The 15516-nt window shown below is 35.6% G+C and overlaps 1 long non-coding RNA gene across 3 annotated transcripts in view; it reads left to right on the forward strand.

Annotated features, from left to right (window-relative positions):
* The first annotated feature begins 296 nt into the window (after positions 1–296).
* Positions 297–15516, forward strand: part of LINC01684 (long intergenic non-protein coding RNA 1684) — a 119203-nt gene continuing 103983 nt past the window's right edge. Inside the window, exons 1-4 of one of the 3 annotated variants that reach the window (NR_135520.1) lie at positions 297–461; positions 9810–9990; positions 12726–12910; positions 13352–13470. This is a non-coding gene — a long non-coding RNA (long intergenic non-protein coding RNA 1684). Of the gene's footprint in view, positions 462–9809; positions 10001–12725; positions 12911–13351; positions 13471–15516 lie in introns of all 3 variants that reach the window. The other 2 variants (NR_135521.1, NR_135519.1) reach the window with 2 other exon arrangements.

A 15516-nucleotide genomic window follows, 5' to 3' on the forward strand; every position in this document is an offset into this window, starting at 1 on the left:
ACTGGAATATTTAGTGAGTAAAGCAAATGCCACATTCTTGGGTACCTACAAAAAAAATCTCACTTTCAGAGAGGCACAAATTATGCATCTTATTAATGTGCAGAACTAGATCTACAAATGGGCAATCAGAAAAAACTGAAAACTCTCAAAAAGCTAAGTTCTTAGGAGAAATGTGTATATTTGGGACAATAGTAAATAACCCCTTAAAAGAAGTAAATCCAGTCCTCAAAGCAAAAGGGCGAGTCTGAGAGCAAGAGCCCCAGAGAAAGACGCCGGAAGGAAGTCGTAGATGTAGGAAGTGACTGTAGGTTTAGATGAATGGAAAATGAACTTGCCAGTTCACAGCTATGTCCTTCCCAATTTAGGAGGTTAAGGGCAGGAAAAACATGAGAAACTCTTTTGAGAAGCTGCACAAGCTGACATGGAGGATCAAGGATTTCAAAAGCTTTGAATATAAAGAGGTGAGAATTTTTATTTTATTTTTTTACTATTATTCTGGTCTGTTGGTTGAGCTCTGAGGTTAACATCTTACAACACTTTAAAGTGAAACTAAAACAAACACATCATTTTTAAAATTGGCCATATCCGGAGCCCAGAAAAATATTACAAATAGTAACGTGTCCTTTCGGACACCTCATAAAAATTTAGGGAAGAGATATATGGAAATACCTTTTAAACACTTGGCAAATAGAATAGGTTTCAATTACATCAGATTATAGTTTTTAGTCTGACAGTTTGTGTCTGGATGTACAACGGATTAATTTTATTAAGTTTGTTGGAAGAGTTATTGAAACAACAGGTTTCAATTATTTTGTTCTCACTGAAATCTGTTTCACAAAATGGACCACTGAAATAAGAAAAATGGTTTCAGTTTATTTTAATGTGATTTCCTGAGTGGAGAGAATTTTCTACATATATATGTAAAAGTCAAGTTATTGCTTATGAATACAGCATTACTTTTTAACTATTCTATTAAAATAATATTCTCTTAGATTTCAATAACATGTAATGTGCACGTATTACACACATGAAAAGTCAATTCTCATGGTCACTCACACTAAGGTGAGTGAATATATGACTGTCCTCTGCATGTGATGCTCAGGATATCTCATGAAAATGTACAAATTGTCATAAATGGAATTTCCTAGCACTGCTATCTTACCATAAAAATGATGTGGTGATAATAGTGGTAAACAAAATTGTCAGAGATCAAATGTGACATATCACTATTCATTTAAGGTATAAAATGGCTGTTGATAAGATATTTGGAAATGGATATAGCATGATCATAATACAGAAATTACAAATATTGCTACAAATTACAATTTTTAGAATTTGTTTTAAGATATTTCATTATCACTAAACAGGCTTCAAATGCCTAGTGAACTGATAAATCCCACTGCCAACTGATTTGTTTCAATATGATGTGTTCATTGCTTGTATTTGGACCTATTAATAACTTGCAGAGCTAAGAAGTATGTGCTTTCCTTGCATCTTTATTGTACTCCAACTCTATTCCCTGGAAGATAGCCAATGTAAAACAATATTAATTTAATACCAACTTAAATTTTGCTTCATACAATTTTCAGTTTATATGAGAAGGTAATTTCTTTATGGATTCTGAGTTAAAATGAAATTTTAAGATTTCAAAGTTTATTATTGTTATTTCAAAAATTGCGGTTAAAATTTTATCATAAAAATCATACTTAAGAATCATAATCTTCTAATATTAAAAGAAGGAATACAAGGGAACAGGTGATTGAGCTGACCATAGAATATCGTATGAGTGGAAAGTAAAAGCTCTTGGCAGTGTAGAGATAGAACTTGTTAAAGCAGTTGCAGTTCCGTATGTTGTCTTCTTAAATAGATATGAGATTGGAATTAACTTGTTAGTGATATTCATTTCTAAGAATATCATAGAACGCCAAAATTGGAAGATTAATTTGGTTGTGATCCCAAGTTCATTGAATAGTATTTTATCTTACTGTGTGTATAAGTAATATGATAATGGTGATGGTCAAAATAGAAACCTTGCTTGATGCCATGCATGGTACTAATAAGCATTAGTATGCTCATAAAGCATGAGCATTATGTTATGTAATTCTAACAATCTTATGATGTAGTTATAACTATTACCTCATGCTTTTATTTATTAATTTAAATGATATTTATTAAGTACATTTGGTCTTCAATTTTATAGATGGCATAGCTATCATAAATTAAACAAATAAGCTCCTTGGAGTTATAGAGTTTATTCAGGTTTAAAAGTGAGCAAAAACACACAAAAAATAGTAAATGAGGAAATGGAGAAAATAGAGTTATGGTGAGATTGGGTAAGTCAACAGATGTAATAGGGAGACATTTTTTCTAAAGCACTGATATTTGAACTGATTTCTGAACTTTTGAATCAGTCATCTGCACAAAATGCTTGTGGGGATAATTTCAGGCAATTGGAACAGACTGCAGCTATCATGTTGTGAAAAATAAGTGTATATTTTTGACAAATCAAAGATACAGGGGATAGTAAGAGAAATCTAATGTCTGGATTACCAGAAGAAAAATACAGAATGTAGAAAAATTTATAGTTAATGAACAGATAGAGGTTAAGAATGTTTCTATACTAATGAAATAAATGAAAACAATAAAAATATAAGAAATCCACAAAACTCTAAGCAGCATGAAACATGTAAATCTACCACTGCTATTTCTGCAGAAAGCAAAGGCAAATAGGAGATATTTTTAAAGCCAGAAACAAAAAGATAAATAATTCTAATGCTGCAAATGCTGTATACTGAATGCAGTCTGCCATGTACTAAAAAAATATTACTACCTATAATAATACCCTTTTGTAATTAAGGTAATATGTATACATTTGAAAGCCAAAAGAGAGAGGAAAGAGAAGAGAGAGAGGATAAGAAGGAGAAGGAGAGAGAGAAAATTTGTAACCAGCATAATTATACTGAAGGAAATACTAGAATGTATTGTTCATGCAGGTGAAAAGTTAAAGATAAATATTCTATGTTCAAATAAATTTTGACTATATAAAACCAAAAGAGCAATATTATTTAAAATTTATAATATAGACTTAATTAAGGCACAGCAAAATGATAGGATATTCTTGTGGAGGGGGAAATAAAAGGGCAGTTCATTGTTTAGAGAAGAATAAAAAGTAGTCAGCAATGTAAGACTCTTATAAGTCTGAGATACTTTGATGTGAAGTTCCTTATGGAACAATTACTATTAAATGGTAATAAAATATTGTGTATAACATCGAAACAGAATAGAAGCAGAAAAAACAAAAAAGATACAGAATAAGGAAAACAAAGAGAGAAAAAATATATCATTAGAGGAACAAATAGAAAGCACTTATTATATTTATGTATAATTATGTTATATACATATATACACACATCTATATGTATATATATACACATACATATATATATATATATAAAATTACATTAATTGGCCAATGAAAAATACTTCCAAAATGGAAAAAAAAAACCCTAAGTTATTTAGAAGAGAAACACTGAATCATAACCACAGCAAATTTACAAATAAAAACAATGAAAAAGAATATTCCAATCAAACATTAACCTATATTAATGCCAGATGAACTAATTTTAAGACAAAAATACATTGCTAGAGATGAATGGAATGTTTAATATTGATAATAAAATGAATTCCTAAAAGGTTGTAAGAAATATATAAGAACTTAATGATACTATTTTAAAATGCAGACTCACTAATTTACAGAAAACCAAGGGGAAATAGACAAACCGACAATTTCAGCAAAATATTTCTTAGTAATTAATAAAATAATAAAATAGTAAAATATTTCAAAATGTTAATTGATAAATCAGTAATAAAAGATAACTAGATTGTCCTTACAAACTTGGAAATCAACAAATAAAAGACTAAACAATCCATTACCTGTAAATTCATAATAGAATTAAAAAATATCTCTAACTGAATTATACCAAAGTAATACAGGTGATGACTTGAAGAATGCACAAAAGCAGTATAAAGACAAAAATACATAGCAGTAATGACCAGTAATAGGTATGCAACATAAATGAGAAAATTAATCTATCCCATCTATCTCAGAAAGTTAGGATTGAAAAAATTGACCTATAGAATGCAGAAAGAAGGGAATGATAATGATGAAATCAAAGTAAAGAAAAAGGAAAAAACAAAGCACACAATGGAGAGAATGAACAAAATAAAAAATAGTTATTTGGAAAGGTTTTAAAATATATAATAATCTGGTGTGGTTAAACATAACCACATTTTTACCTCTCCCTTTTTTTTTTCCTTCAGAAAGAACACATCTAAGGTTTTTCTTTAATGGGATTAAATTAGTGACAAGATTCTCTTTCTCCCTCCCTCTGTCTCTTTCTATCTCTCCAATATCTACGTTTTCTAACCCTGTCTTTTCCAATCTCACTAATACCTAAGTTTTCTAAATGGAACTAGCACTGTTTTGTGTCTGAAACCTTCTCATTTTAAAAATGCACTGGTGATGTATCCTATCTGAGCCACTAATGCCTGGTAGCCAGATAGGAGAATGAAAAAAGGTTATGAATTGATTGGTGGAGAGTGAGTATGGAAGAAGGAGACAGATGGGAATGCTAGTTAATAAACATGAATTCTGGAAACAATGACAAATGGAGAATGCTTTGTCCTGACTTTGTTTCATGTAAGGGTTAGGCCTGGTTTTTCCTTTGGTACTTGCTGAGCAACCGCAATTCATAATTATTTCTCCTCCTTACAGAGAAAGGTTTAAATTAGATTTTTCATGAAGTGATTTCTAGGCCTAAAGCTCCATGAAATAAGCTAAACCCATTTTTAAGTGTGTACAGCATGTGCATGTTGAATGTCCTCAAATTACTAGTTATATTACTATGGTCAATTATACTTGGCAATTGTGCTTAATTGAAGGTGAAAACACATTAGGTTTTTAATTTAAAAGCCATAGGTAAAACCACTCTAAACGTCCTATTTGGATCTCAGACCTGGTGATGCTTTTCTCTATAGACTGGAATTTTACAGTACATTAACCTGTTCATTCACATAATTAGAACAATAACCGAATGAGCTGTTGTATCAGGTAATACATGATAGCAATTCCATTCATCTCTACTGAAATTTAGATTATGAACATGAAACCACATTTGAAGAAACTCAGAGAAAAATATATGCATAAAACATATGTGGTGGCTCATGCCTGTAATCCCAGAACATCAAGAGGCCAGAATGGTAGGATTGCTTGAGGCCAAGAGTTCGAGATCAGCCTGAGCAATATAGTGAGATACTGTCCCTACCAAAAATAAATAAATAAATAAATACATAAACAATAAAATTAGCTGGGCATGGTGGTGCACCTGTTATCCTTGCTACTCAAGAAGCTGAGGTGAGAGGCTTGCTTAAGCCCAGGAGTTCCAGGTTACTGTGAGCTATTATGTCACTGCACTATAGCTTGGATGACAGAGCAAGGCCCCATCTACAAAAATAAAACTTAAAAAAATGCATAGGGCATATTTTTTCCTCTTGAACACTTTCAATCAGATTATGGTGATACAAATCATCAAAACATCAATGACAGGAACTGTTAGTTTCTGCAGACTGCCCTTTCCTCATTTCCTTCAACACTCCATACTTCTACAAGTTGCCACATGCTGTTTCTGAAATAGTTCTCACATCTGTCTCCTTCTCTCCAGCACTGCTGGCTCACTATGGTCAGTTTCTACCTCCAGTGTCAAGACCCTCACATTCATCTTTCACACTGTTAATAAAATCATCTTCACCAGGTCATACCCTCGTTCAAAGGACCTCTAGTAACCTTCCGATTTTAGGCTAACTCCACATGCTTAGTGCCATCTCCCAGCCTTGATCCCTTTGTTTTCTGTCCTCAGATGTATTTCTTACCATCTGAGAAACCAGATGTGTGCTCTTTTTTTTTTTTAACTTATTTTAGGTTTGGGGGTACATGTGAATGTTTGTTACATAGGTAAACATGTGTCACAGGGGTTTGCTGTACATATTATTTCATCACCCAGGTAGTAAGCCCAGTACCCAATAGGTATCTTTTCTGTTCCTCTCCCTACTCCCACCCTCCACTCTCAAATAGACCCCAGTTTCTGTCGTTTCCTTCTCTGTGTTCTTCAGTTCTTATCATTTAGCTCCAACTTAAACGTGGGAACATGTGGTATTTGGTTTTATGTTCCTGTGTTAGTTTGCTAAGGATAGTAGCCTCCAGCTCCATCCATGTTCCCTCAAAAGTCATGATCTCACTTTTTTATGGCTGCATAATATTCCAACCATAATAGTGTTAATATTGCTGAGGTCATGGCCATTATCAACCCTAGTTCTGCATATCAAGGAGAATACATGGAAAGGCAAAGATGTTGCACTAGCATATTTAATTTTATACCTGATGAGACTGTTGGATCCAGGAGAAACTCATATTAATACTTGATAGGGGCTGGGTGTGGTGGCTAATGCCTGTAATCTCAGCACTTTTGGAGCCCAAGGGGGTCAGATCACCTGAGTTCAGGAGTTTGAGACCAGCCTGGCCCACATAGTGAAACCCCATCTCTACTAAAAATACAAAAATTAGCCAAGCGTGGTGGTGCACACCTGTAATCCCAGCTATTAGAGAGGCTGAGGCAGGAGAATTGCTTGAACCTGGGAGTTGGAGGTTGCAGTGAGCTGAGATTGTACCACTGTACTCCAGCCTGGCTGACAGAGCAAGACTCCATCTCAAAAAACAAACAAACAAACAGAAATACTTGATATGGTTTGACTGTGTCCCCACCCAAATCTCATCTTGTATTTTAGCTCCCATAATTCCCACATGTTGTGGGAGGGACCTGGTGGGAAATAATTGAATCATGGGGGCAGTTTCCCTGAAACTGTTCTCATGGTAGTGAGTAAGTCTCATGAGATCTGATGGTTTTATAAGGAGTTTCCCCTTTCACTTGGCTCTCATTCTGTCTTGGCTGCCACCATGTAAGATGTGCCTTTGCCTTCTGCCATGATTGTGAGGCCTCCTCAGCCACGTGGAACTGTGAGTCCATTAAACCTCTTTCTCTTTATAAATTACCCAGTCTCATGTGTGCCTGTATGAGCAGCATGAAAATGGACTAATATAATACTTAATATCAACACTGAAAAAAACAATGATACCTGCTTCTTGTTATCCCATATATATTTCCATCATCTGAGAATAAGTCAAAATTACTGTAAGTCAAAACTTTCTTTGCATACTCTTTTCATCAAATGCATTCACTGAGCCCCTTAGGAGGGATGAAGTACCTCCCAACATCTCAGAAGCAGAATAACGAAACGTTTTGCTTATATGATTTTCTCTACATCCATCCCACACACATACACAAGAGAACAATAACATCTCAGTGGTTTAACACTATATGTTTAACTTCTAGGTCGTGGCACACTTCAATGAAGATTGTCTATTTCACATGAGTGGCAATCCTTGAAGTAACAACCTGTTTTTACAGTCTCCTTACCTCTTTGATGCCACTGTTTCCAGCATGTGACCCCCATGGTCACCACACAAAGGGCAGAAAGAATATAAAATATCTTTGAAGCCCAGTGGAAACTTCAGACTGAATCTGGGTATTGTATTAGGTTGGTGCAAAAGTAATTGTGATTTTCGCTATTACTTTGCATTGCAAAAACCGTAATTACCTTTCCACCAATCTGATATTATAAAGGCTTGGTATTCATATTATATGCAAATTTACAATATAAAATCTAAGAAAAAATCCTCTATCAGTTTGTAAGTTTCCTCTTTCTCTTATAACAGGTTGCCACAAATGTAATAACTTTAAAGAACACAGATTTATTATTTCTCAGTTCTGTAGGCCAAACATCCAAGCTGGCTCAGCTGGTTTCTTTGTTTTCAGTTTCACAAGGGCAAAATCAAGCTGTTGGCTGGCTTGGCTCTTTGTCAGGAGACTCTTGGAAGAACTGGCTCTTATGCCCATTCAAGTTGTTGCTCAAATCCGGTGCCCAGTGGTTGTAAAACTGCAGTCCCTGTTTCCTTAATGGCCAGCAGTCAATCTAGCCTACAGAGGCCTCCTACCTCCTCACACTTCAAGACTCTCTCACCTTCCTTTCTTCCTCTTGTGTTCTGACTTCATCTTCTGACATATCTCTCAGCCCCTAACCAAAGAAAAATTATCTGTCTTTATGGCTTCTGTGATTATGTTGAACACATCTGAATAATTAAGAGTAATGTCGTTATTTTAAGGGGAGCTGATTCACTTTAGTTACATCTGCAAAGTCCCCTGACAGCAGTACTGAGATTTGTGTTTGGATTAATTCCCTGAAAATGGGAATCTTTAGAACTCTGCTTACCATAATCAGTAACACTAACTTGAACTACAACCACACAATTTATTTATTTATAGTCACCCTAATCTTTCATAACAAAAACGTACAAATAATTCTATGGTTAGGCACAATGGTTCATGCCTGTAACTCCAGCACTTTGGGAGGCCGATGCTGGAGGATTGCTTGAGCCTAGAAGTTCGTGATCAGCCTGGACAACAATACGAGACCTCACCCCTTAAAAAAAATGAAAAAATACACACAGATGTTTTAAAACAAATACAGAAGCTTAAAGTCATTCATGTAAATACATAGATTTAAGAAGTAAATTTAAACTTTAAAGTGATAGTCCTTATTGAGATATATATTATTATGAAACTTGCGGATGAGTAAATAATCATAATATATGAGCGATTAGCAGGAGGCAAAAAAAATCCTCTGTAGTAATATATAACAGAATTTGGGATATAATGGAAAGTCCCCTTTAATACTTATACTTTAAAGTATCAGCATCTAAAAGTTAAATTGACAGACAAAGATGAGACAGAAAGGAAGATACCAGTAAAAATACCCAAGAATGGATCATTGAGAATCCAAGCAGAAAGGATGTTACAGTAAATAGCACGCTTGAAAAATAAAAAGTTGAGTTAACTGTTGTATTGTTACTACACTTTTCCCTTGGGTAAGGGTAGTATTATTAAGGTATTTATTTACATACCCTATGATGATATTTTAAGAACAAAGTTAAAGTCCATAATAGAGAGGACTTTATTTACAAGACTCACTTTTGCAATTGGTTAAATTCTTTCATATATAATGTTAAGAGGTAAAAGAAGAAAACGGTCCAAATAATTGAAATAAAACAATTTGTATGCATCCACTAGCAAAAAAGGCAAAACAAAGCAACAACAACAACAATAAAAAACTGTTTAAAGTTTCAGTCAGCTATAATTATGTTTTACACTCGTCAAATTAATGGGGTAATTGTTCCACCTATATATTTAAAAGTGTACATTTGCAGATAATGATTTATTGACTTCTTGGATATATGTAATTATGAGTAGTTAATGCTGGGATTGAGTGAGGTGTCCAAGAGGCTTATTAGGGGTTAATACCTGTGAAAGATAAAAATGAGGACAAATTGGAGTTGGAGAAAGAAATTCTTCGACTGCAATGCGTATATGATACATGTAAGAAAAGGAAGAAAAGCAGAAAACAGACTCTGTCCCCCTCCCCATCCCCCCCCAAAAAAAAGAACGTGTTCTTAGTGGAAATGCCATTAACCAATGCCTCAGCATAGCAAGATTGACAGAATTAAAATATTTTTGTCAAAAGTGGAATTCCTTTAATGGGTATTTTCTTCTCTTAACCTCTTTGGAGACCTGGCAAAACCTCTCAGAGCTGCCCTGCTCTTCTTACTCCAATCTTTCTTCCTTTTCTCTCTCCCTTCACAGGTGTCAGACTTACATCAGAGCCTGAGACTTGACATGCCTATTTTTGCACTCGCTCATTTTTCAAATTTCATAGGCATTGCTCCCTCCAAATCACCGCTCTTCTAATTTTATCCTGGAGTGTGCATCCCAGAAGACATAAGCTGACACAATTGGGAACTGAAGTTGCTTGAAAAAGCTGGTGGTAAGATTAGGTAAAATAATTGTGTTACCACCTTCTGAATGGCAATCAATATTGCATCCTAAGTAGCATGTTTGGTTGGGTGCAGATAGTTTTTGAAACTAGGTGGTGACCCAACTTACAAATATGTCACCAGTGGTGACCTAGGAAAACAGACTGATATAAGGGAAAGCTCTTCTCAGTGAGATGATTTAGACATTTGAAAGGGCAAGGGCAATGAATGGGGTATGCATGTTAGGATAATGAAATTAACTTCTAAAGCCTAAGGTGTATTGAGATACCACAAAGAAATGATAAAAAAAAAAAAAACTGGTGCCATTGCACAAATAATATTTAACAGTGAAAGTTGGCCTCTTATACAGCTTATAAGGAGTGTAAGAAAGGATACAGCTGAGATGCAAGTACAAGTCTTAGTAGAGTCACAGAGCTCCAAATATGTTGAAATGATTAGCTAAATTAGATCTGTCATGCTGTAAACAGGTCCTAATTGAGAAAATCTGAAACTCTAAAATATGGCATGCTATATCTATGCCAGCTTGCAACAGTGACTCACCCTTTTAAAAAAAATTGTTGGCTGGGCGTGGTGGCTCATGTCTGAAATCCCAGCACTTTGGGAGGCTAAGGCGGGTGGATCACTTGAGGTCAGGAGTTCGAGACCAGCCTGGCCAACATGGTGAAACCTTGTCTCTATTAACATTTCAAAAATTAGCCAGGTGTGTTGGCGGGTGCCTGTAATCCCAGCTACTCAGGAAGCTGAGGCAGGAGAATCACTTGAACCTGAAAGGCAGAGGTTGCAGTGAGCCGAGATTGTGCCAATGCACTCCAGCCTGAGTGACAGAGCAAGACTTTGTCTCAAAAAAAATTGTTTATATTTAATATGTGCAACATGTTTTTGGCCCACCCTTCTTAAGTAAGAGTTTACGTTTCTACCATGTTGCATTAGTCTGTTTTCACACTGCTATAAAGATACTACCTAAGACTGGGTAATTTATAATCAAAAGAGGTTTATTTTTCTCAAAGTTCTGCAAGGGGAGGCCTCAGGAAACTTACAATCATGGTGGAAGGCAAAGGGGAGGCAGACACCATCTTCATACAGTATCAGGAGAGAGACAGAGATAGAGAACTCAGGGGAAACTGCCATTTTTAAACCATCAGACCTTGTGAGAACTCCCTCACTATCACGAGAAGAGCATGGGGAAACCTCCCCCATGATCCAATCACCTCCCACGAGGTTCTTCTGTAGACACGTGGGGATTACAATTCCAAATGAAATTTGGGTGCGGACACAGAGCCAAACCATATCACATGTGAAAAGACCCTTTACAATTCACTTCCTCATAAGGCAATAGATGTTTCCTATAGGAATGTGGCCTACCTTGTGTCCTAGATGTTAACCAATAATTACCATTAATTTCCAGTATAAGCCATCTGGCAATATGCTGGGCCTCAAAGAGAAATATGACTAAAGTATATTTTGAGACTTCTTCATCAAGGGACCTAGAATGTAAAATGGATAAGTAATAAATCACTAACTAGAGGCCCTTTATGAAACACAAGATTTAACATTTGGTTTAGAACCTTAGGGTGTAGGGCAAATTCACTCCACAGTTAAGTAGAAGCCTAGAAAATGTAATCGTCTATGCTACATGAAGTTTAAATATATGTTTCTATGCCAGATGGTAGAGGAAGGAATTTTTAAAAAGCTCAGAAAAGTAGCTGTGATAAAATGAGGTTGTGTGAGGCCATGAAACTTACCAGATGATTGTCATATATGAGAGGTCCCAGAAGACCCACTATTCACTAAGATCATCAGAAATATGCTGTTAATTAGGGCACCAACATCATAAAAGATTAGCTATCTTTTGCAGATCAGGACTGATGGTAGAAGAGGTAGTCACAGGGTTTAGTTTGTTAATAGTGATGGAGAATATGACATCCTGGATCAACAGAGACCAGATGGTGGCACATAACCACAGAATTCATAAGAATTGGCAAAGTCAGAAAGTCAGACACTGGGAGTTGTAGTGACAGTGGAAGCTGTCTTCTTTAGAAGTAAAAAATAAGGTTCTATTTAATATCTACACTCAGAAGAGGGTAAGAGGGTGATGAGAGTCATCCCAATAAAAATCGTGGTTCTTTGCTCTATTCCTGGACCAGTTACAATTTGGATACCCAAAGTCTCATTGTGGATCCCCTTTTACAGTCTGGAATTACAGGGACCATATAATAAATGAGGTCCAGTAGGTGCGCTGCTGGGATTGATGTTCTTAGCAGTTGGAGTAACCAATAGTAAGAGCTATAGCAGCAGGAAGGACTGGGAATATATTAGCATCTTAATGGGGATGACAGGGCCTGTAAGTACAAGTACTGGAACTTCAAGGACAAGGAGTACTGTGTTAGAGGAATATGGAGGCAGCATATATAACAAAGTGGACAACAGATTGTCCATATGCTGACAGTATTTGGTTTGTTTGTTTGTTTGTTTTGAGACTGAGTCCCACTCTGTCAGCCAGACTGGAGTGCAGTGGCTCACTGCAACCTCCGCCTCCCAGGTTCAAGCGATTCTCCTGCCTCAGTCTCTGACTGTATTTGTTTTTGGACACCCCAGGACACACCAATATAAACGGAGTCATAACAGTGGCAGAGATGGGGTTAAGCATGGTTCCAAGTACAGAGACTTTTATACTTTCCAAGACCAATTTATTTACTAATGTTTACAATCCTTGCATATTTAACAGGGATCAGCATCATATATCACTATTTCTCAAAGATTATCTGGTCTCTTGATGGCAAATCTACAATATTGAAACCTTTGAAAGAGAAATTGTGTTTTGTGAGTTACATGACTACCGTTTGCATCCAAGGTCTCCTCTGTAGTCAAGAGAAGAATGCAGAAACTACATGTCCAAGAATCTCTTTCCAGGTTAGAGTTTACCAGTGGGATTAAATCATGTGAATATTGGAAGGAAGAGAAAAACAAATTCCGATATTCTCAGGCAAGCATTGTGACCAGAGGTAGAAACTCATGGCAGCCAGATGAGGTGGCTGCATAGACTTCTTTGCAAACTCTCATTTCATGGTTGTATTGTCAAGAGTTCTGCATCTCAAACCTTTTTACAGAGGATACACAGCTCAATTAAAAATTTTAAGGGATAGTATACTGAACACATTTTCCAATAAAACTTATTTTATTTTAGCTTGAATTTCTCCACATATAAAATTTATAGAAAATGGATATATTCTATTGATGATTATAATTTAACCTTTAGATGAATTATTTGTTAACATCTTGCATCTTGATACAAACATTATTCTTCATATAATCACTTTATTTTTGTGTTTAACTGAGGCCCTGTTGTTACAGACTCTAGACAGCTTATACGTATTTGGACAAGGCAACGTGATGAAGAAATAATATAATTGTAGGATCACCTCTGTCCAGTAGCTGTTATCCAACATCTGCATACTTAGATTTCTGGAGAGGTAGGTAAACTACTGTATTAGAAAACACTAGAAGTGCATGATTGTATTTTTCATGTCCAAAGTCTAACACATTAAAAGAGAAAAGGATTCGAAAATTATCTACTTTGAAAGTTTTAAACAAAAGTGAATTTTCTTGGTTAAATATCCTATTTAATTGCCTTTCTAAAAATAGCCTAAATGTCCATTGTTTGATATATGTGGTGAGATATTTTTTAAAGTACTTAATTATAATGTTTTATTTGATGAGACTAGCTATTTGGTATTTTTTTAAATGGAAAGGGGGCAAACATACTTAATAAAATGCAAAAATAGTACTGGAAAAATATTTTAAATGATTGCTAAGTATTTTAGTGAATACCTAATTGCATTAATTTGCTGAGACTGCCATAACAAAATAAGACACATTAAATGGCTTGAACAACATAAATTATTTTCACACAATTCTGGAGGCCAGAAGTTTAAGAACATGGTGTCTGCAGGTTTGACTCCTCCTGAGGCTTTTCCACTCTGCTTGCAGTTGTGTGCTTTCTCACTGTATCCTCACACTGTCTCCCTCTGTCTGTGTGTTCTACAATCTAATCTCCTCTTCTTACAAGGATACCAGTCATATTAAATTAAATCTGCACCCTAACGACCTAATTTAATTTAATTAGCTCCTTAAATATTTTATCTCCAAATACAGTTACATTCTGAAGTACTACAGATTAGGACTTCAACATATTAATTCTGGGGGGAGGGACACAATTCAACTCATAGCACTTGTGTTGTTCATCTCATAGAAATATAACTTTCTATGGGTCTTTCACAACAATGAATGTTAGATGAATGCTATGGTTTGAATGTGTTCCTTCCAAAATTCAGGTGTTGCCAATGTGATGATTTGCTTTGTTTTGTTTTGTTCCTTTGAGACAGAGTCTTTCTCTGTCACCCAGGTTGGAGTGCAGTGGCACCATCTCGGTTCACTGCAACCTCCACCTTTGAGGTTCAAGCAATTCTCCTGCCTCAGCCTCCTGAGTAGCTGGGACTACATGCGCGTGCCACCAAACCCAGCTAATTTTTGTAGTTTTTAGTAGAGTTGGGGTTCACCATATTGGACAGACTGGTCTTCAACTCATGACCTCAAGTAATCTGCCTGACTTCGCTTCCCAAAGTGTTGGGATTACAGACATAAGCCACCATGCCTGGTCCAATACAATGATATTAAGAGGTTGATGCTTGTATACATGTGTAACTAGCCTGCACATTGTGGACATGTACCCTAAAACTTAAAGTATAATAATAATAAAATAAATAAATAAATAAATAAATAAAAATAAAATAAATAAAAAATAAAGAGGTGATGCTTTAAAGAGGTGATTAGGTCATGAGGACTTCTTCCCTCATTAGTTGGACTAAGGTCCTTATACAAGAGGCTTCACACACCATTTGGTTCTAGCTGTGCTTCTGCCTCCCACCATGTGAGGACACAGCATTTCCCCCTCTGGAGGATTTAGCAACAAGCAACCATCTTGGAAGCAGAGAGCAACCATTTCCTAGACAACCAAACCTGCTAGAGCCTGGATCCTGAACTTCTCAGCCTTCAAAATTATGAGAAATACTTTTCTGATTATTATTAGCTACCCAGTTTCAAGTATTTTGTTATAGAAGCACAAAATGGACCAAGATGATGAATTTCTGAGACTGCTGACACCATCATAGGAGCAACATGTTTATTGTGTAATCTCTTGAGACTTATCTCAAGTTAGAAAGAAGGAGGAATAGATTCTACTGCCCACAGACAAAGATTCTTTGAACTTTGGATTTTGATGGATCTAAGCACAATATTTAATTGTGAGTACATGTTATTAAACTGAAGAACAAAAGAAAGTTATATGTATTTATAGATGTTTGTGGAGAAAGATGAAAAAATATTGACAATACTCGACCTGTACAATGCAGAGTTGATGAAATTCAGAAAGTATGATTGCAGGAAAACAAAGCTAGTTGGCTTCCAACTGGTAAAAGTTCACACTATGAAGAATTAACTCCCTCACACTTCCTGTCTGT

The sequence above is a fragment of the Homo sapiens genome, chromosome 21, assembly GCF_000001405.40.
Source record: "Homo sapiens chromosome 21, GRCh38.p14 Primary Assembly".
Lineage (NCBI taxonomy): Eukaryota > Metazoa > Chordata > Mammalia > Primates > Hominidae > Homo > Homo sapiens.